At 43.4% G+C, this 19,785-nt stretch overlaps 6 annotated features.

Annotated features, from left to right (window-relative positions):
* Positions 883-1,052: an enhancer, noted in NCBI's record as "experimental_13731 CRE fragment used in MPRA reporter constructs". NCBI's record gives its function as "activates a minimal promoter by MPRAs in K562 erythroleukemia cells, with activity observed for the non-introgressed 10:64451168 variant allele {active_cell/tissue: K562}" and the evidence as "EXISTENCE:reporter gene assay evidence [ECO:0000049][PMID:34662402]".
* Positions 10,811-10,990: an enhancer, noted in NCBI's record as "active region_3428". NCBI's record gives its function as "activates an Ori minimal core promoter by ATAC-STARR-seq in GM12878 lymphoblastoid cells {active_cell/tissue: GM12878}" and the evidence as "EXISTENCE:reporter gene assay evidence [ECO:0000049][PMID:35858748]".
* Positions 14,053-14,552: an enhancer, noted in NCBI's record as "H3K4me1 hESC enhancer chr10:64437583-64438082 (GRCh37/hg19 assembly coordinates)". NCBI's record gives its function as "activates a minimal SCP1, AML or CMV promoter by ChIP-STARR-seq in primed H9 embryonic stem cells {active_cell/tissue: H9 hESC(primed)}" and the evidence as "EXISTENCE:reporter gene assay evidence [ECO:0000049][PMID:30033119]".
* Positions 14,553-15,054: an enhancer, noted in NCBI's record as "H3K4me1 hESC enhancer chr10:64437081-64437582 (GRCh37/hg19 assembly coordinates)". NCBI's record gives its function as "activates a minimal SCP1, AML or CMV promoter by ChIP-STARR-seq in primed H9 embryonic stem cells {active_cell/tissue: H9 hESC(primed)}" and the evidence as "EXISTENCE:reporter gene assay evidence [ECO:0000049][PMID:30033119]".
* Positions 14,553-15,166: a biological region, named in NCBI's record as "H3K4me1 hESC enhancer GRCh37_chr10:64437081-64437582".
* Positions 14,997-15,166: an enhancer, noted in NCBI's record as "experimental_13730 CRE fragment used in MPRA reporter constructs". NCBI's record gives its function as "activates a minimal promoter by MPRAs in K562 erythroleukemia cells, with activity observed for the non-introgressed 10:64437054 variant allele {active_cell/tissue: K562}" and the evidence as "EXISTENCE:reporter gene assay evidence [ECO:0000049][PMID:34662402]".

Below are 19,785 nucleotides of genomic sequence, written 5' to 3'. Positions count from 1 at the left end.
TTTAAGCTTCTGATTTACAAACTGGCTGGCAGGTCCCTCCTCCCCCACCTTCAAAGCCCCGGGCCTAATAGGGATGCAAATGTCTCCCCTGGCAGCTCAGCATTGCTTCTGTCACTGAGGGAAGGCCCTTGGCCATCCATGGCAGGACGCTGAGAAAAAGGACCCCTCCCTGGGGCTCTCCATCTTTGTGGAGAGAAAATGATGATGATGTATGAGACAGCCGTGCCTTTGGAGTCTAAGGAGGACATGACAGACAGGATAATATGGGAGGAAAACCTTGTCTTCGTAATGGAGACTGATGGCCTCTGCCTGTCTTAAGCTACCATTGTCAGGGCTGGGCTGAGTGGGGCCTGCTCCTGAGGAACATCACTGGGTGGCAGGTTCGGTATGTCAGACATGCCACCGTCAGTGGTAGCCTTCAACCCAGGTGGGGGAGGCGGGCAACCAAATGAAGGCGTGTGTGGGGTTGTTGAGTGGATCCCAGACCGCCTTGGGATGACATGCATGTTTGTCAGGTGTGACAGTCCTAACTTGATTGGCTTTTCTTTACCTTTTTTTTTTTTTTTTTGGCCTCCTCCTTACACCTTTAACTTCTCCCTGCTCTCCTTCCCTCCCGAAACAACTAAGTGAAACTGAAACTCTAAAACTTAAATATTAAAAAAACGGGTCCCAAATTCTCACCAAACCCCTCCTGTTCCCACTTCAGGCCCCTACTTGGCCTCAGGAAAGAAAGCTTAAAGCGAAAGTAGGAATGTCATCTTTAGAAATCATCTTTTGGAGCAGTTTTATTAATTTTACTTCTCTGTGGTTACCACATGTTTGGGGAAGACAATTGATTTCACAGATCTGTGTGGGAGGCTGAAGATTTGGCTCTGAGGCAGCAGAGAAAACCTACAAGAACGGGCGCACTAATTGACATACAGCAAAAGTCTATTCTTTAAGGAAACTTTTCTCTTAGTGCTTGTTATGTTAAAATGTAATACTAAATTCTTAATTCAATTGTATTTTTTTAAAGAGAGTTTCAATTTTCTTCTTCCTCTACCCATGTACTCCTCCAATCACTCTTCCCAAGATTTCCACTTAGGACATTAAAAGGTAAACCAGACCAAGTGTGAAATCATAAAGTTGGCTTCAAAGACAATACCAATGGCTGGAGGAGTGTCCAGGCCCAGGGCTCCAACAGAAATGAGCCCTCGCTGCCTGGGAAGGAACCAGCACTTTTGTTTCTGCCCCTGTTTTGGAACCTCCAATTTAGGGATTCCTGGTCTGAGCAAGATCTCAGCAAGGTTGGGGGAGGTAGGTGATTAATGGTCAATGCATGAGCCTTCCTGGATTTGGCACAATCCCACCCTCAGCCACAGAGGTCACTGTTGTAGTACCTCACTGGTTCTTCTTAAGAGGGAGGGGACTCTATTGTTGGATGCTTTCAGATGTCAACCTAAATGACTACATCATCCAGATAGAAATCAGTTCTGATTCTAAATAAATAATAGGCCAAGCCAGAAAAAAAATCTCTATCACTAGATCTGTGGGTGGTGGTGGGTACGTAGCTGCTGTTTTCGAGCTTTAAATGTGGGTTCTTTGGCATTAGCTTTATTTGAAATAGGAGTGGTAGCTCTTCACGCCCTCTGAAAAGTTCATAGCCCACCTTACAGGAGATGGTAGCCTGCAGTGTTTGATGTTACTAATTATATTGCCCTTGTGGGAAGAGGACAGGGTGCTTTAGAAAACTCACAGAAGACAGGGTTCTTCCCCAAACAGGCTCCATGATGACTTGATAAGGAATTGATTAGCAGATGTGAAATAGACAGGTGCCTTATGTCCCTGCCCAAACATTCAAGGATTTCCTGCACCGGTCACTTTGGCATTGCTGAAGGCCAGCTGTGATCACCTCACTCCTCCCCTTTGTCTTTTCATCCACTCTGTCCTCTGTTCCTTTGTTCAGGGCAAGCAGGTCCAAACTGAGCCAGGTGTGGCTGGGAGGGAGGCTTCTCTCCACTATCATGGTTTTGCCCTAAAGTTTCTCCAAGCAGTGTGAAAATGCCAAAGTAGGTCATGCAACATGGCTGAGCTGCTCATACATGCAGACCCTGAATAACTGCTCTGTGAAGCGATGGGAAGGGAAGGAGGTGCCGGGGAAGGCTGGATGTGGGTGGGAGGCTGTTCCAAGTTCAGATGATGACAAGAAAACGGCTGTGGGGCCCCTCCTGAGGCTCCTGGGGTGAGGGATCGAATCTCGGCTCTGTTGTTTCTGACCCTCTCTGTGACCTTGGCTGAGATCAAAACTCGCTGCATCACAAAACTCTCCCCAGAAAAATGGGAGTTATATCATATAGCCTGCCAAGGAGGGGTATTATTACAAACACGAAAGCATTACATTAAAAAAAAAAAAAAGTGAGACCCAGGGGAAGGAAGGAAAATGGGGGCTGTGAGTGGAGAGGAAGTGACACGTTTCATGAAATCGGAACTTTTTAAGGTTGTTTTGGGCACAGTTTCAAGAGGAAGTGCCGTTTATTAAGACAAACAATCACTAATCTAATCTCTATCAGGAGACACATCTAAGCTCAAGCACACATTTTTTTAGGCTCTTCTGGATTTTGGATTTTCAATTGAATACTGTAATATGAGTGTAAATCTGATGGAAGAAAAACAATTTAAGGAAGAACTTGTATTGAATTCTTTCTTTCTGATTTCTGTTACATATACTGAAGTTGGAGAAAAATGATCAGCAATCAAGAACAATCTAATTATCTGGACCTCTGCCTAAAGCCCCCTTCCCTAGTTAACTAGTTAATCTTCCTTTAACTAAGACCTCCTCCTTTGAAGGCTCCCCCAGGCCCCTGCTCTGGCCAGGCTGCCCTCCTCCAGGCTCCTGCAGTCCCCCGGGCTCACCTACATCCTGAACACATCACACTAGGCTGGAGTGCTCTGGTTACTTGTTTGTTTTTCCTACTAAACTGGCTTCTTGAAGACTAGAAGTATCTAGCCCATGGTAGATGCTCAATAAGAAGTCAATGTTGACTATAGATGGAAAATAGAGAAATAAGCATTATTCCTATGTTGGTTTACCATCCCACAGTTTCACTGGGTCAGGAGTCTATGCACAGGCTAGCTGGGCCTTTTGCTGAGAGTTTGCTCAGGAGGCTGCCATCAGGTGTTGGCCTGGGCTGTGATCTTATCTGGAGGCTCTAGGGGAGGATCTGCTTCTGAGCTCATTCAAACTGTTGGAAGAATTCATTTCCCTGAGGCTGTATGACCAAGGCCCCCTGCCTCTTACTGGCAGTTGGCTGGAAACCACTCTCAGGTCCTAGAGGCCACTGGCCAGTCCAGCATGGATATTTGCTTCTTCAAGCCTGGCGGGAGACTCTTTCTCACTCCAGCTGGCTAAGACTGAATTTTATAACATAATCAAGGGAGCAATATCCCATTATCTTTGCCATATTCTATTGGTTAAAAGCAATTCTCAGGTCTTGGCTACACTCAAGGGGGTGGGATTAGATGAGGGTATAAATCTCTGAGGGGGCAGGTCATGTCAGGGTATGTCCACCTTGATCTCTATACATTACCATAAGCACTTTCACACCACAAAGTATCCATTTGCTTTTTTTCTTTTGAGGCTTATGGGAGAGTAGTTTAATATTTCTAGTCTGTACTCCATTATCTGAAAGAGTTTTTATATTTTGTGGTGTCTTGTTCAGAAAATAACCTAGCAATCTGATATTTCTCAAGTCATGTGCTATGTAAAAGTCCTCATGTCAGTTACTAAGTTATTGGTTTCCAGCTCCAAATCCACCCTTCTCTGCTTTCTTTGTTGTGTGATCCTGGGACTCTGCAAACTATATATATATATTTTTTTGAGACAGAGTCTCACACTGTCACCTGGGCTGGAGTGCAATGGTGCAATCGTGGCTCACTGCAAACTCTGCTTCCTGGGTTCAAGAGATTCTCCTGCCTCAGCCTCCCAAGTAGCTGGGACTACAGGCACCTGCCATCATGCCTGGCTAATTTTTTGTATTTTTAGTAGAGACAGGGTTTCACTATGTTGGCCAGTCTGATCTTGAACTCCTGACCTTGTGATTTGTCCCCTCAGCCTCCAAAAGTGTTGGGATTACAGGTGTGAGCCACCGTGCCTGGCCTGCAAACTATATTTCTTCTTTGTTAGTGGCTTCAGGTTAGGTTATTACAAGAGGGGACAGGGAGAGGGGACAGGGGACTTGCTCTTCTTCTGCAAGCAATGGCCCTTCACCCCAGCAGTGGCAGTAGGTTCAGTTCACCTTCTTCTGGCACTTGCAGAGCCAACTTTAATGCGGGCCCTCAGAGAGCAGCATGAGCTGGGCAGTGCTTCCATGGAGGCTGGCATCTCAGCTCCATAGGGCCCCCCACTGAGCTTGTAGGTTCTGATAACTCCAATTTCTTGTTGCTTCTCCTGGGTGGTGGTGGATACTTCCTGAACTTACTACCTTGGTGTTAGCTCAGTGTGTTTATTTTGCTTTTTCAGTCCTCCATTGTCTATTTCACCAAATCCCTATATTATATTTTCTCTGTTAGAATACCCAGTATTGTTTATTTTCCTGACTGTATCCTGACTGATAAAGTACTATAATTTTCATCCAAGTTGACAAGAAACTATAGGGTTTCAATAACTACTATTGGAATTTTGTATGCCAAAGGAACTGATGTTTAGAAAACAGACAAAACCCATCTCTCTTTTCAGGTATTAGAATATTGGGCCCATATTTGACTTTGCAAGTCTATTCAAGGCTGCCTGGGTAAGTAGTAATGTATCTAAATAAGTACACAGGGGTGAGTCATACATCCACTCCCCAAATCACCATGAATCATGAGTAAAGAGACTTTAGCCCCTGAGAAGCTCATACTTAGAAATCAGTAAGGCTAACTGTAGAAGTTATGGAGTACACCCAGATATCTCCATTTCACAGAGGAGGAAACAGAAGGATTCATTTCTATCCAAGGCCTTGTGCCAGTGGAAGCCTTAACCTCACACACTATAGCAACAGATGGTTTTTCTCCTGTACCTGAACTGGTTCCTTTTCTTGCATTTTCTAACTTTTAAAATGGTATCTGTACCCAAGTTCAAAGGTCTTTAAATCACCAAAAGAGGACTCAGTTCTCTCCTTCTCCTTTGAATTAGGCCAGCTGATCTTCCTTCAAAGTGTTTTGGCCATCTATCCTGTTCATTTGTTTTCTATAGACTTTTTGGCTTGTTTAGGCCCTCACTGTCTCTTACCCAGGCCATTAAAATAGAGCCTGGCTGGGTTCTCTATTGCTGTCCATTTGGTACACTGCTACCAGAAGAATGTATCTGAAATATAACTTACAGCATATTACTCCTCTCCTCAAACACCTTTGGCTGCTCCCTATTGCCAATAGGGTAACATTCAAATATCTCATTTGGGAAGGTTAAACTTCTTTCAAAATTTTATCTCAGTCTCTGTTTCCAGCCTTGCCTCTTTTTTTCTCCCTGTTAGATATCCTTCATGCCAGCCAGGCGTGGTGGCTCACACCTGTAATCCCAGCACTTTGGGAGGTCAAGACAGGCAGATTGCTTGTGCTCAGGAGTTCAAAACCAGCCAGGGCAACATGGTGAAACCCTGTCTCTATAAAAAACACAAAAATTAGCCAGGTGTGGTGGTGGCCGCCTGTAGTCCCAGCTACTAGGGAAGCTGAGGTGGGAGAATTGCTTGAGCCTGGGAGGTCGAGGCTGCAGTGAGCCAAGATTGTGCCCCTGCACTCCTGCCTGGGCAACAGAGCAAGACCCTGTCTCAAAAAAAAAAAAAAAGATATCCTTCATGCCAGCCAAATCTGTCCACAGCCTCTAGGACCTAGGCTCCACTGTTCCTCATGCTGAACCTGACTCACATCCTTATCACGGGCTACCCCTCCTGAACCCCATCTCCTCTCCCAAAATCCCACCTATCCTCTAAGATCTAGCTCAGATTCTACCTCCTCCATCCATTGTTTCTTGATTCTACTGAGTAGAATAATCTCTTCTTTCCGCTTTCTCTAATGACTATGTAAGGGAAATACAGATGATGATAAGAGCCACTAAGAGCAGTACAGCTAATATGGAATGATGTCCTAGCTCTTCCCTCCACTGTACTATGCCCTTCACTTGCATCATCTCAGTTCATCCTCATGGAGATCCTGTGATAGTACTTTTTATTTTAAAGATGAGAAAGCTGATTTAATGAGGTTACATAAATTGCCCAAGATCACATAGCTCATTTTTGGTTTTATGTAAATTATTCATATATTTCTCTTGTCTCTCCTCCAGATGGATAGCTCTCTGAAAGCGGGAAGCATGCCTTGTTCAGGTAAGGTCCTCTCTTCTAAATTTATGGAGTATTTTGTGCATGGTGGACAATAAGTCACCAATTTGCTAAAGTTTCAGAATGCACAGCTTTTTGCCACCAAATGGTTTGGTGTTGAGCTTTATTTTATTTTTTGGTTTTATATCAAGCATATACCTGTGTTCTATGTAATGTAAGTCAAAGAGGAGGGCGTTTCTAAAAAGTCTGAAATAAATTAATTCCTGTTTTCCTTCTGTTATAGTTTGAGAGATGATCTTTATTTGATACTGACTCCCAAAGTCTTTGCTTTAACTCCTTTGCTTTAACTGAAAGTGCTCCTGAATTTAAGTGTTCATTTGTGAAGGAGCACTTTCAGTTTGTAAAGAAATTGTGGTTGAGTCCTCATCATGCGAAGAATCCTTCTGAATGTCTGCTAGTGATTCCTTTGTTTCCTAAGCTTGAATTTTTGTTTATTGGCTTTTTTTTTTTTTTAAAGCAGGGCATTGCCTTATACACAATTCTGGATGCATGTCTATTTGGGAGAATTAAATGCAGCTGGAGTTGGGGTGGGAATTATTCAAAAGCTACTCAAAAGACTTATTAAACAAAAAGACAGGAGCATAGATTCAAGGTCACGAGTTAGAACCCTGGGGTCAGAATGAGCTCAATTCTCTTGAAAATAATAAGGCTGACCTTTCAGGAGGGCGGTTTTGTGAAGATTGCCATATAGATAGCACTCGGGATTCACATGCAGAAAGAGACTTTTTTGGCAAATGCATTCAGTTGCCTTTTGCTCTGACTTCTGAGCTGCAAGAGTTATGGGAACCACTCCCGGATTTGGGACTGCTTTCAAAGAAGCAAGGGCTTCTTATACAGCCCCACTTCTGGGTAACAATTTCGTATTCCTGTGAGGGGCCCAGGGAACAGAGATGGACATGTCTGAAATGCGGGGGTGGAGAGAGGAAGTTCAGGAAAGAGGCTAGGGCAACCAGGCTGCTTGTCAAACAAGTGGAGGAGGCGTAGGGGGAAAAAGTCATTTGGTGTTTCTCTTTCTTTCTCCTGAGCACCTTTTCCAGGAGCTACTCTTATTACTGTTGAAGAGGGACGGTCACTCTAATGAGATACTTTCTCTCTGTGCATAAAGGCCCCACAAGTGGCCCGACCCTCTTTGGGCCTGGGCTTTGAGGATTTCCCGCACTGATCATGGCGTCCCGTTGCTTTCTCCCCCCTGCCCTGGCTTTAGTTAGAGTTATCCTGTGGTCATAGAATAGGGCAGAGTTAACTGGTCACCATGGGATTGTACCCTCCTTGCAAGTCTTACTGTGCTCAGTGTCTTGATTGACTCTATCTCATTGGGCTGAGTGGAGACAGAAAACTGGACCTGCATTGGCAACCTCTCTGCCCTGGCCTGCAGCTGTTCTGTGCTGGGCCTGGGGAGACCAGGGACACCTATCTGCTGGCTGACACAGGAAAGGGAGTAAACACTGGGAAGGGAGATCCTGAACCCTTCTCTTGTGATCCCACACATAGGCTAAGCAGGTAGCCACCCATACAAAAGTGCAGAAAGGTAGGGCAACTACATAATTTATCATTTCCATAGGGTTGCTTCTGAGAGTGAAAAGGGGCACTAAATAGTTATGTTTGGGCAACAGGCAAGAACTGGGCACCTTGATCTCAACTCAATCAGCAGACATTTCCTAAGCAGCTCTGTAACAGGCCTGTCCCTTCCATAATTGGATACAGACATGTCAACAAGTAATGACAAGATTGAGTTAGGTGGAACTCTAATAATGGAAGCAGGTGCAAAGGCAACAAAAAGAGGGTGAGGTTAGTCTCTGGGAGCAGGAGTGGGGGAGTAGTTGGGAAGCCTTCAAAGCAAGGGGCTTTGTAAGATAAATGTTTCATAGGCATATAGATGACGGAAGGGATTCTAGAAGAGAACAGCAAATGTAAAGTCACAGATACCTGAAAATACACAGCACATGGGAAGGGTTGGAAGAAAAGTGGCATTGATGGTGAGCAAAGTGTGAAATAGGAGTGTCAGGACTCAGGCTGGCTGAATCCAGGTTGTGATGCCACATCAACAGGCTTGGACATACTTGTTAGAGCAGGAGTGGCAAACTGTGGCCCTTGGGCCAATTCAGCCTGCTGCCTGTTTTTGTGAATCAAGTTTTATTGGAACACAGCTGAGCTCATTGATTATATACCATCTACGGCTGCTTTCACACAATAACAACAGAGTTGAGTAGTTGCAATAGAAACTAACTGTAGGGCCCACAAAGCCTGAAATATCTACTATTTGTTTCTTTATAGACAAAGGTTGGCAAGCCCTGGCTAAAAGCCATGGTGGAAACATTGAAGGACTTTAAGTAATGATGTAACTATATCTCTGATTTAGAAAGATCTCACCATGTCCGGTGGGCAATAGACTGGGGAAGGAAGGAAGGTGGGAGGCTACAGTGACAGGCTTTGATTCATGCAACCAACCTTTTCCGAGGGCCCACTTTATGCCAGACACTGTGCCAGACTGGAATGCAGAGATGAGGTCACAGTCCACTCCTTATGACCACTGCAAACAAGAAAAGGTAAGAGCCTGGACCAAGGTGGTAGAAATGAAGATGCATGGGAGGGGATAGACCAGAGAGAGGTTTAGAGAGGTAAAGTGAGAGATTCTGGGGCTCCAGTTTTGGGACCAGATGGTTGGAAGTATCCTTCCCTGAGGTGGGGACACTCAAGGAGAAGCAGGTTTGCTTCCACTTCACTCCCCCTTAGCCTCTTTGAACTCACTGCACTTGCCCTGTGAGATGAAGTTCTTAAGAGATTTCTAGAGATAGAGAGGTTTTAACTGGGTTTAGATTTATCTGAGACAGACACCTGAACAAAAACTAAGTTAACCAAGTGTTGCCATCTGAATTCATTGTCACTTAGGAAAGAGCAAAGCCCCCACTGAATTTGAAAGAAAAGGTCCTGCATGGGCCCATGGAATAGCTGCTCCCCTGAGCTGACAGGTGGAAGGGACTGACTTCCTCATGCTTGTAACCCCCATAGGTCCTCCACAGATGTACACTGGATGAAAGTATGAGACCAAATGACTTAGGGTCTTGGCAAATAAAGATGGCACACTCAAGGGCTTCAGAGACTGAACACTCCATCTCTCACTCCTACCCTCTCATCTGCTGGTGTCATCCATTGGCTGCACTCCATCAGACCCCCCAGTGGGGGACCCAGATAATGCAGCAAGTGGGGCCATCTTCCTCCCCCACAGAGCCTGGAACAGAAGAGCCTTTTTGTGGTTCCTTTTAGTTTTGCCAAGCTTGGTGTGATCACACTTTCACTATTGAATTGTTAGTAGCATTACTGAAGTACTTGGACAACACATCATTATTTAGATAAATAAATATTTATTGGTTGCATATTCTTGCAAGCAGTTCTGGAGCACCTAAGAAGAGCCAGGTACTTTACCATGAGTCACATACAGAGATGGCTAGAGGGTTTTGCAAAGATATTGCCATCTGTGGGCATCCTTGTACACAAAGCTTTTGAGTATTCCAGCAGCATAGATTACTGGAAGTGGAATCCTGGACCAGGGCGAATTCATAGTTTACATTTGGTAGACACTCACAAATCACCTTTCTAAAAGGGCTGATGTACACTCTACAAGTATTTGAGCATGTCTTTTTTTGCCACGCCTTCTCTTGGTCCCTGGTGAGGTTAAGCATCTTTTCATATGTTTTTCAGTTCTTTGTAATTTTTCTTTTGTGAAACACAGTGGTTTAGAGCTTGATGTCTGAAATCAGACTGTTAGGTGGATTCAAACTCTGTCTTTGCCCCTCATGAGCTATGTGATCTTGAGCAAGTTATTTAACCCTTCAGTACTCCCATTTCTCATGTGTAACATGAGGATAGTGTCATTAGCTACTCTTTGGGGTTTTGCAGTCTAAGTACTTACATAGTGCCTGACACAGGGTAAACTTGATGTAAGGGTTGGCTATTGTAAGATTTGACCATGTCTTTTTGCCTATTTTTCTTTCCTGGTGATGTTAAAGTGTGACCAGAGTTAAAGACTACCAGGCAGAAAGCAGCCTGTTTCTGTGGCTCTTGTTTTATATGTATATGCACAGAGTAACAAGACTGAATCAATCTATTTCTGAAATGGTCTTCTGGTTCCTGTGTCATGATGTGCACTCAGATGATAACATTTCACTTTCCTACCTGGACCACAGATAAGTGTGTGTGCTGATGAGTGGAGGGTCATTTGACTGCTTCGGCTCTCCTGGCATCTCTGGAATTCTCAACTGTTGGAATTTGACCAGAGGTTCCCCCAGAGTAAGTTTGCTCCAGGGAGTGACAGCTGCCCCCTGTGCATTGTTCAGGGCAAGCCTAGAGGTCCTTGAGCCTTTGCTCTGGCGGCCAGCAGATGGAACTGCTGGAGCTCCGGGCTGTAGGAGGCCAGGTGCTCTGCGCTCTCACTTGCAGCGGGCTGAGGGCTGTGGTTGTGGCTGCCTGAGCTATTGCTGCCATTGGGGAGATCACACGCCCACAAGGGGAATGCCTCAAGTGAATGAAAAAAAAAAAATTAAAGGAAGAAGAGAAAAGCTCCTTCCTTTATAGGCCAACCTCACAGTTACGCAACTCTGACTGTACATTTTCAGACTTTCCGTGCAAGTGAAGGTCACCTTAAGATAGATTGAAAAGCATGTATCATAGTCATAGGAAAGTTCAAGAGTGTGAGGGTGTCTGAGGCATTACTTGGTGGTGAATGTGTGTGTAGATTTCCTATAGTGAGACTGGCTTACATGGGCAATGGAAGGAAGTTGCTGCTGGGCCACCAGCAGGGCCAGCATGGGAACCACCAGTGCTGTCCTTAATTGATGCCAAGAATTGTCCAACGTGTTAGCATTAATTCTCATACTAATACAGCAAGGAAGATATTATTAGCCCAATTTTATTGATGAGGAAATTAAAATCAGAAAGTTTAACTATAAGACCCATCAGCTAGAAAGCAGTGAGGCACATTTTTGAAAGTAGGTTTTTCTGATGTCAAAGTTCACATTCTGTCCACTGCCCAATGCACAGAGTTGCAGAATTTAGAATTCAAAGGGACTTTAGAATTCACAGCTTCTCTGTGCCCAAGATCACAAAGTTTGCGGCAACCTTGGAAATAGAATCTTCATCTCTTATTTTTTGTTTGTTTTTGGTTTTGCTTTTTAGGGTTTTTTGAGACAGTATCGCTGTGTTGCCCAGGCTGGAGTGCACTGGTGCGATCTCGGCTTATTGCAACCTCCACCTTCTGGGTTCGAGTGATTCTACCTCAGTCTCCCGAGTAGCTTGGATTACAGGTTTGCACCACCCATGCCTGGCTAAGTTTTGTATTTTTAGTAGAGACAAAGTTTCACCACATTTTCCAGGCTGGTCTGCAACTCCTGTCCTCAAGTGATCTGCCCACCTTGGCCTCCCAAAGTGCTGGGATTACAGGCGTGAGCTACTGCAACCGGCCAAGTATCTTCTACCTCTGATTCACATGCAGGCATACCCTGTTTTATTGCACTTTGCCTTACTGTGCTTTATAGATATTGTGTTTTTTAACAAATTGGAGATTTGTGGCAACCCTGCAACAAGCAAGCCTACTGGCATCATTTTTTTCCAACTACATGAGCTCACTTCATGTCTCTGTGTCACATTTTGGTAATTCTCACAACACTTCAAACTTTTCATTATTATTATTATATGTTATGGTGATCTGTGATCAGTGATCTTTTATATCACTATGTTACTATTATAAGTGCTTTGGATCACTGCAAATCATGCCCATATAAAATGGTGAACTTAATCGATAAATATGGTGCGTGTTCTGACTGCTCCACTGACTGGCAGTTTTCCTACCTATCTTTCTCTCTTTGGGCCTCCCTATTTCCTGAAACACAAAAATATTGAAATTTGGCTAATTACTAGCCATATAATAGCCTCTGAGTGTTGAAGTGAAAGGAAATGTGTGTCTCTCACTTGAAATCAAAAGCTAGAAATGATTAAGCTTAGTGAGGAAGGCATGTTGAAAACCAAGATAAACAAAAAGCTAGGCCTCTTGTGCCAGTTAGCCAGGTCACCAATGCAAATGAAAAGTTCTTGGAGGAAATTAAAAGTTCTTCTCTAGTGAACATTTCAGTGATAAGAAAGCAAGACATCCTTATCGCTGATATGGACAAAGTTTTAATGCTCTGGATAGAAGATCAGACCAGCCCCAACATTTCCTTAAACCAAAGCCTAATCCAGAGCAATGTCCTAACTCTCTTTAATTCTGCAAAGGCTGAGAGAGGTAAGAAAGCTGCAGAAGAAGAGTTGGAAGCCAGCAGAGGTTGGTTCATGAGGTTTTAAGGAAAGAAGCCACCTCCATAACATAAATGTGCAAGGTGAAGCAACAAGTGCTGATATAGAAGCTGCAGGAAGTTATCCAGAAGAGCTAGCTGAGATCATTAATAAAAGTGGCTTCACTTACCAACATCTTTTCAATGTACACAAAATAGCCTTAGATTGGAAGAGGATGACAAGTAGGACTGTTATGGCTACAAAGGATAAGTCAATGCCTAGCTTCAAAGCTTCAAAGGACAAGTTGACTCTCCTGTTAGGGGCTAATGTAGCTGGTGACTTTAAGTTGAAGCAAAGCTTATTTACCATTCCGAAAATTTTAGGACTGTTAAGAATTATACTAAATCTACTCTGCCTGTGCTCTATAAATGGAACAACAAAACCTGGATGACGACACATCTGTTTACAGCATGGTTTACTGACTATTTGAAGCCCACTATTGAGTCCTACTGCTCAGAAATAAAGATTCCTTTCAAAATATTACTGCTCATTGACAATGCACCTGGTCACCCAACAGCTATGATGGAAAAGTCCAAGGAGATGAATGTTGTTTTCATCTGTGATAATACAGCATCCATTCTGCAGCCCATGGATCAAGGAAAAATTTTGACTCTCAAGCCTTATTAGTTAAGAAATCTATTTCATAAGGCTATAGCTGCCATATATAGTGATTCCTCTGATGGATCAAGACAAAGTAAATTGAAAACCTTATGGAAAAGATTTTAGGAACTCTTACGAAGTGCTCTGGCTAGGTTCTGGGGATAGCATAGTGAAAAATGGAGTCAAAGACACTGCCCTCATGAAGCTAATAGTCTAGTAGGGAACATCATCATTAGATAAGTAATTACATGGCCAATTAATTCATCATAATTATGTTAAATGCAATGAAGGAACAAAGTAGGGTCTAGAAGCACAAACAGTGGAAAGGCCTGGACTCCCTAGAGGAAGCTGCATTTCATCTGAGACCTGAGAGACAGCATGAGTTAGCTGGTGACTGGAGCAAGAGGAGGGGACTCAGACAAAGGAACCCCATGTTCCAAGGTCGTGGGCCTGCCAGTTGCAGCATGGCAAAGGATTTGGAGGAGGGCCTGAGAGGGTGTGAGGAGCTTGGCTGGACAGCTTCAGCCACATAGACCTCCACCATAGAATTATTTACAAGAGTGAAAAACTGAGGGAGGAGCCAAGATGGTCGAACAGGAACAGCTCTGGTCTACGGCTCCCAGCGTGAGTGACGCAGAAGATGGGTGATTTCTGCATTTCCATCTGAGATACTTTATTTTTGCATAGCACACAACATATGGAAAGTCAAAGGAACATATAAAAATTCATACTTGGAGATTTAGCCAAGATGGCCAAATAGGAACAGCTCCGGTCTACAGCTCCCAGCATGAGCGACGCAGAAGACGGGTGATTTCTGTGTTTCCATCTGAGGTACCAGGTTCATCTCACTGGGGAGTGCCAGACAGTGGGCGCAGGACAGTGGGTGCAGCGCACCATGTGTGAGCCGAAGCAGGACGAGGCATTGCCTCACTCACGAGGCGCAAGGGGTCAGGGAGTTCCCTTTCCTAGTCAAAGAAAGGGATGACAGACGGCACCTGGAAAATCGGGTCACTTCCGCCCTAATACTGCACTTTTCTGATGGGCTTAAAAAATGGTGCACCAGGAGATTATATCCCGCACCTGGCTCAGAGGGTCCTACGCCCACGGAATCTCGCGGATTGCTAGCACAGCAGTCTGAGATCAAACTGCAAGGCGGCAGCGAGGCTGGGGGAGGGGCGCCCACCATTGCCCAGGCTTGCTTAGGTAAACAAAGCAGCTGGGAAGCTCGAACTGGGTGGAGCCCACCACAGCTCAAGGAGGCCTGCCTGCCTCTGTAGGCTCCACCTCTGGGGGCAGGGCACAGACAAACAAAAAGACAGCAGTAACCTCTGCAGACTTAAATGTCCCTGTCTGACAGCTTTGAAGAGAGCAGTGGTTCTCCCAGCACGCAGCTGGAGATCTGAGAACGGGCAGACTGCCTCCTCAAGTGGGTCCCTGACCCCTGACCCCCGAGCAGCCTAACTGGGAGGCACCCCCCAGTAGGGGCAGACTGACACCTCACACAACCGGGTACTCCTCTGAGACAAAACTTCCAGAGGAACGATCAGACAGCAGCATTCATGGTTCATGAAAATCCGCTGTTCTGCAGCCACCGCTGCTGTTACCCAGGCAAACAGCGTCTGGAGTGGACCTCTAGCAAACTCCAACAGACCTGCAGCTGAGGGTCCTGTCTGTTAGAAGGAAAACTAACAAACAGAAAGGACATCCACACCAAAAACCAATCTGTATGTCACCATCATCAAAGACCAAAAGTAGATAAAACCACAAAGACGGGGAAAAAACAGAGCAGAAAAACTGGAAACTCTAAAAAGCCGAACACCTCTCCTCCTCCAAATGAATGCAGTTCCTCACCAGCAACGGAACAAAGCTGGACGGAGAATGACTTTGACGAGTTGAGAGAAGAAGGCTTCAGACGGTCAAACTACTCTGAGCTACAGGAGGAAATTCAAACCAAAGGCAAAGAAGTTGAAAACTTTGAAAAAAATTTAGACAAATGTATAACTAGAATAACCAATACAGAGAAGTGCTTAAAGGAGCTGATGGAGCTGAAAGCCAAGGTTCGAGAACTACATGAAGAATGCAGAAGCCTCAGGAGCTGATGCGATCAACTGGAAGAAAGGGTATCAGTGATGGAAGATGAAATGATTGAAATGAAGCGAGAAGGGAAGTTTAGAGAAAAAAGAATAAAAAGAAATGAGCAAAGCCTCCAAGAAATATGGGACTATGTGAAAAGACCAAATCTATGTCTGATTGGTGTACCTGAAAGTGATGGGGAGAATGGAACCAAGTTGGAAAACACTCTGCAGGATATTATCCAAGAGAACTTCCCCAATCTAGCAAGGCAGGCCAACATTCAGATTCAGGAAATACAGAGAATGCCACAGAGATACTCCTCGAGAAGAGCAACTCCAAGACACATAATTGTCAGATTCACCAAAGTTGAAATGAAGGAAAAAATGTTAAGGGCAGCCAGAGAGAAAGGTCGGGTTACCCACAAAGGGAAGCCCATCAGACTAACAGCGGATCTCTCGGCAGAAACTCTACAAGCCAGAAGAGAGTGAGGGCCAATATTCAACACTCTTAAAGAAAAGAATTTTCAACCCAGAATTTCATGTCCAGCCAAACTAAGCTTCATAAGTGAAGGAGAAATAAAATCCTTTACAGACAAGCAAATGCTGAGAGATTTTGTCACCACCAGGCCTGCCTTAAAAGAGCTCCTGAAGGAAGCACTAAACATGGAAAGGAACAACCCATACCAGCCACTGCAAAATCATGCCAAATTGTAAAGACCATCAAGGCTAGGAAGAAACTGCATCAACTAACGAGCAAAATAACCAGCTAACATCAAAATGACAGGATCAAATTCACACATAACAATATTAACTTTAAATGTAAATGGACTAAATGCTCTAATTAAAAGACACAGACTGGCAAATTGGATAAAGAGTCAAGACCCATCAGTGTGCTGTATTCAGGAAACCCATCTCATGTGCAGAGACACACATAGGCTCAAAATAAAAGGATGGAGGAAGATCTACCAAGCAAATGGAAAACAAAAAAGGCAGGGGTTGCAATCTTAGTCTCTGATAAAACAGACTTTAAACCAACAAAGATCAAAAGAGACAAAGAAGGCCATTACATAATGGTAAAGGGATCAATTCAACAAGAAGAGCTAACTATCCTAAATATATATGCACCCAATACAGGAGCACCCAGTTTCATAAAGCAAGTCCTGAGTGACCTACAAAGAGACTTAGACTCCCACACAATAATAATGGGAGAATTTAACACCCCACTGTCAACATTAGACAGATCAACGAGACAGAAAGTTAACAAGGATACCCAGGAATTGAACTCAGCTCTGCACCAAGCAGACCTAATAGACATCTACAGAACTCTCCACCCCAAATCAACAGAATATACATTTTTTTCAGCACTGCACCACACCTATTCCAAAATTGACCACATAGTTGGAAGTAAAGCTCTCCTCAGCAAATGTAAAAGAACAGAAATTATAACAAACTGTCTCTCAGACCACAGTGCCATCAAACTAGAACTCAGGATTAAGAAACTCACTCAAAACCACTCAACTACATGGAAACTGAACAACCTGCTCCTGAATGACTACTGGGTACATAACAAAATGAAGGCAGAAATAAAGATGGTTTTTGAAACCAACAAGAAAAAAGACACAACATACCAGAATCTCTGGGACACATTCAAAGCAGTGTGTAGAGGGAAATTTATAGCACTAAATGCCCACAAGAGAAAGCAGGAAAGATCCAAAATTGACACACTAACATCACAATTAAAAGAACTACAAAAGCAAGAGCAAACACATTCAAAAGCTAGCAGAAGGCAAGAAATAACTAGAATCAGAGCAGAACTGAAGGAAATAGAGACACAAAAAAACCTTCAAAAAATTAATGAATCCAGGAGCTGGTTTTTTGAAAGGATCAACAAAATTGATAGACCACTAGCAAGACTAATAAAGAAGAAACGAGAGAAGAATCAAATAGACGCAATAAAAAATGATCAAGGGGATATCACCACCGATCCCACAGAAATACAAACTACCATCAGAGAATACTACAAACACCTCTACGCAAATAAACTAGAAAATCTAGAAGAAATGGATACATTCCTCGACACATACACCCTCCCAAGACTAAACCAGGAAGAAGTTGAATCTCTGAATAGACCAATAACAGGCTCTGAAATTGTGTCAATAATCAATAGCTTACCAACCAAAAAGAGTCCAGGACCAGATGGATTCACAGCCGAATTCTACCAGAGGTACAAGGAGGAATTGGTACCATTCCTTCTGAAACTATTCCAATCAATAGAAAAAGAGGGAATCCCCCCTAACTCATTTTATGAGGCCAGCATCATCCTGATACCAAAGCCTGGCAGAGACACAACCAAAAAAGAGAATTTTCGACCAATATCCTTGATGAATATTGATGCAAAAATCCTCAATAAAATACTGGCAAACCGAATCCAGCAGCACATCAAAAAGCTTATCCACCATGATCAAGTGGGCTTCGTCCCTGGGATGCAAGACTGGTTCAATATACGTAAATCAATAAATGTAATCCAGCATATAAACAGAACCAAAAACAAAAACCACATGATTATCTCAATAGATGCAGAAAAGGCCTTTGACAGAATTCAACAACCTTCATGCTAAAAACTCTCAAGAAATTAGGTATTGATGGGACGTATCTCAAAATAATAAGAGCTGTCTATGACAAACCCACAGCCAATATCATACTGAATGGGCAAAAACTGGAAGCATTCCCTTTGAAAACTGGCACAAGACAGGGATGCCCTCTCTCACCACTCCTATTCAACATAGTGTTCTGGCCAGGGCAATTAGGCAGGAGAAGGTAATAAAGGGTATTCAATTAGGAAAACAGGAAGTCAAATTGTCCTTGTTTGCAGATGACATGATTGTATATCTAGAAAATCCCATTGTCTCAGCCCAAAATCTCCTTACGCTGATAAGCAACTTCAGCAAAGTCTCAGGATACAAAATCAATGTACAAAAATCACAAGCATTCTTATACACCAATAACAGACAAACAGAGAGCCAAATCATGAGTGAACTCCCATTCACAATTGCTTCAAAGAGAATAAAATACCCAGGAATCCAACTTACAAGGGATGTGAAGGACCTCCTCAAGGAGAACTACACACTACTGCTCAATGAAATAAAAGAGGATACAAAGAAATGGAAGAACATTCCATGCTCATGGGTAGGAAGAATCAATATCGTGAAAATGGCCATACTGCCCAAGGTAATTTATAGATTCAATGCCATCCCCATCAAGCTACCAATGACTTTCTTCACAGAATTGGAAAAAACTACTTTAAAGTTCATACGGAACCAGAAAAGAGCCCGCATCACCAAGTCAATCCTAAGCCAAAAGAACAAAGCTGGAGGCATCACGCTACCTGACTTCAAACTATACTACAAGGCTACAGTAACCAAAACAGCATGGTACTGGTACCAAAACAGAGATATAGATCAATGGAAGAAAACAGAACCCTCAGAAATAACGCCACATATCTACAACTATCTGATCTTTGACAAACCTGAGAAAAACAAGCAATGGGGAAAAGATACCCTATTTAATAAATGGTGCTGGGAAAACTGGCTAGCCATATGTAGAAAGCTGAAACTGGATCCCTTCCTTACACCTTATACAAAAATTAATTCAAGATGGATTAAAGACTTAAACATTAGACCTAAAACCATAAAAACCCTAGAAGAAAACCTAGGCAGTACCATTCAGGACATAGGCATGGGCAAGGACTTCATGTCTAAAACACTAAAAGCAATGGCAACAAAAGCCAAAATTGACAAATGGGATCTAATTAAATTAAAGAGCTTCTGCACAGCAAAAGAAACTACCATCAGAGTGAACAGGCAACCTACAAAATGGGAGAAAATTTTCACAACCTACTCATCTGACAAAGGGCTAATATCCAGAATCTACAATGAACTCAAACAAATTTACAGGAAAAAAACAAACAACCCCATCAAAAAGTGGGCGAAGGACATGAGCAGACACTTCTGAAAAGAAGACATTTATGCAGCCAAAAAACACATGAAAAAATGCTCATCATCACTGGCCATCAGAGAAATGCAAATCAAAACCACAATGAGATACCATCTCACACCAGTTAGAATGGCAATCATTAAAAAGTCAGGAAACAACAGGTGCTGGAGAGGATGTGGAGAAATAGGAACACTTTTACACTGTTGGTGGGACTGTAAACTAGTTTAACCATTGTGGAAGTCAGTGTGGCGATTCCTCAGGGATCTAGAACTAGAAATACCATTTGACCCAGCCATCCCATTACTGGGTATATACCCAAAGGACTATAAATCATGTTGCTATAAAGACACATGCACACGTATGTTTATTGTGGCACTATTCATAATAGCAGAGACTTGGAACCAACCCAAATGTCCAACAATGATAGGCTGGATTAAGAAAATGTG

The sequence above is a fragment of the Homo sapiens genome, chromosome 10, assembly GCF_000001405.40.
Source record: "Homo sapiens chromosome 10, GRCh38.p14 Primary Assembly".
In the NCBI taxonomy this organism is placed as follows: Eukaryota; Metazoa; Chordata; class Mammalia; order Primates; family Hominidae; genus Homo; species Homo sapiens.
The sequence above is the reverse complement of the archived record's forward strand: the minus strand, read 5'-3'. Positions and strand labels throughout refer to the sequence as shown.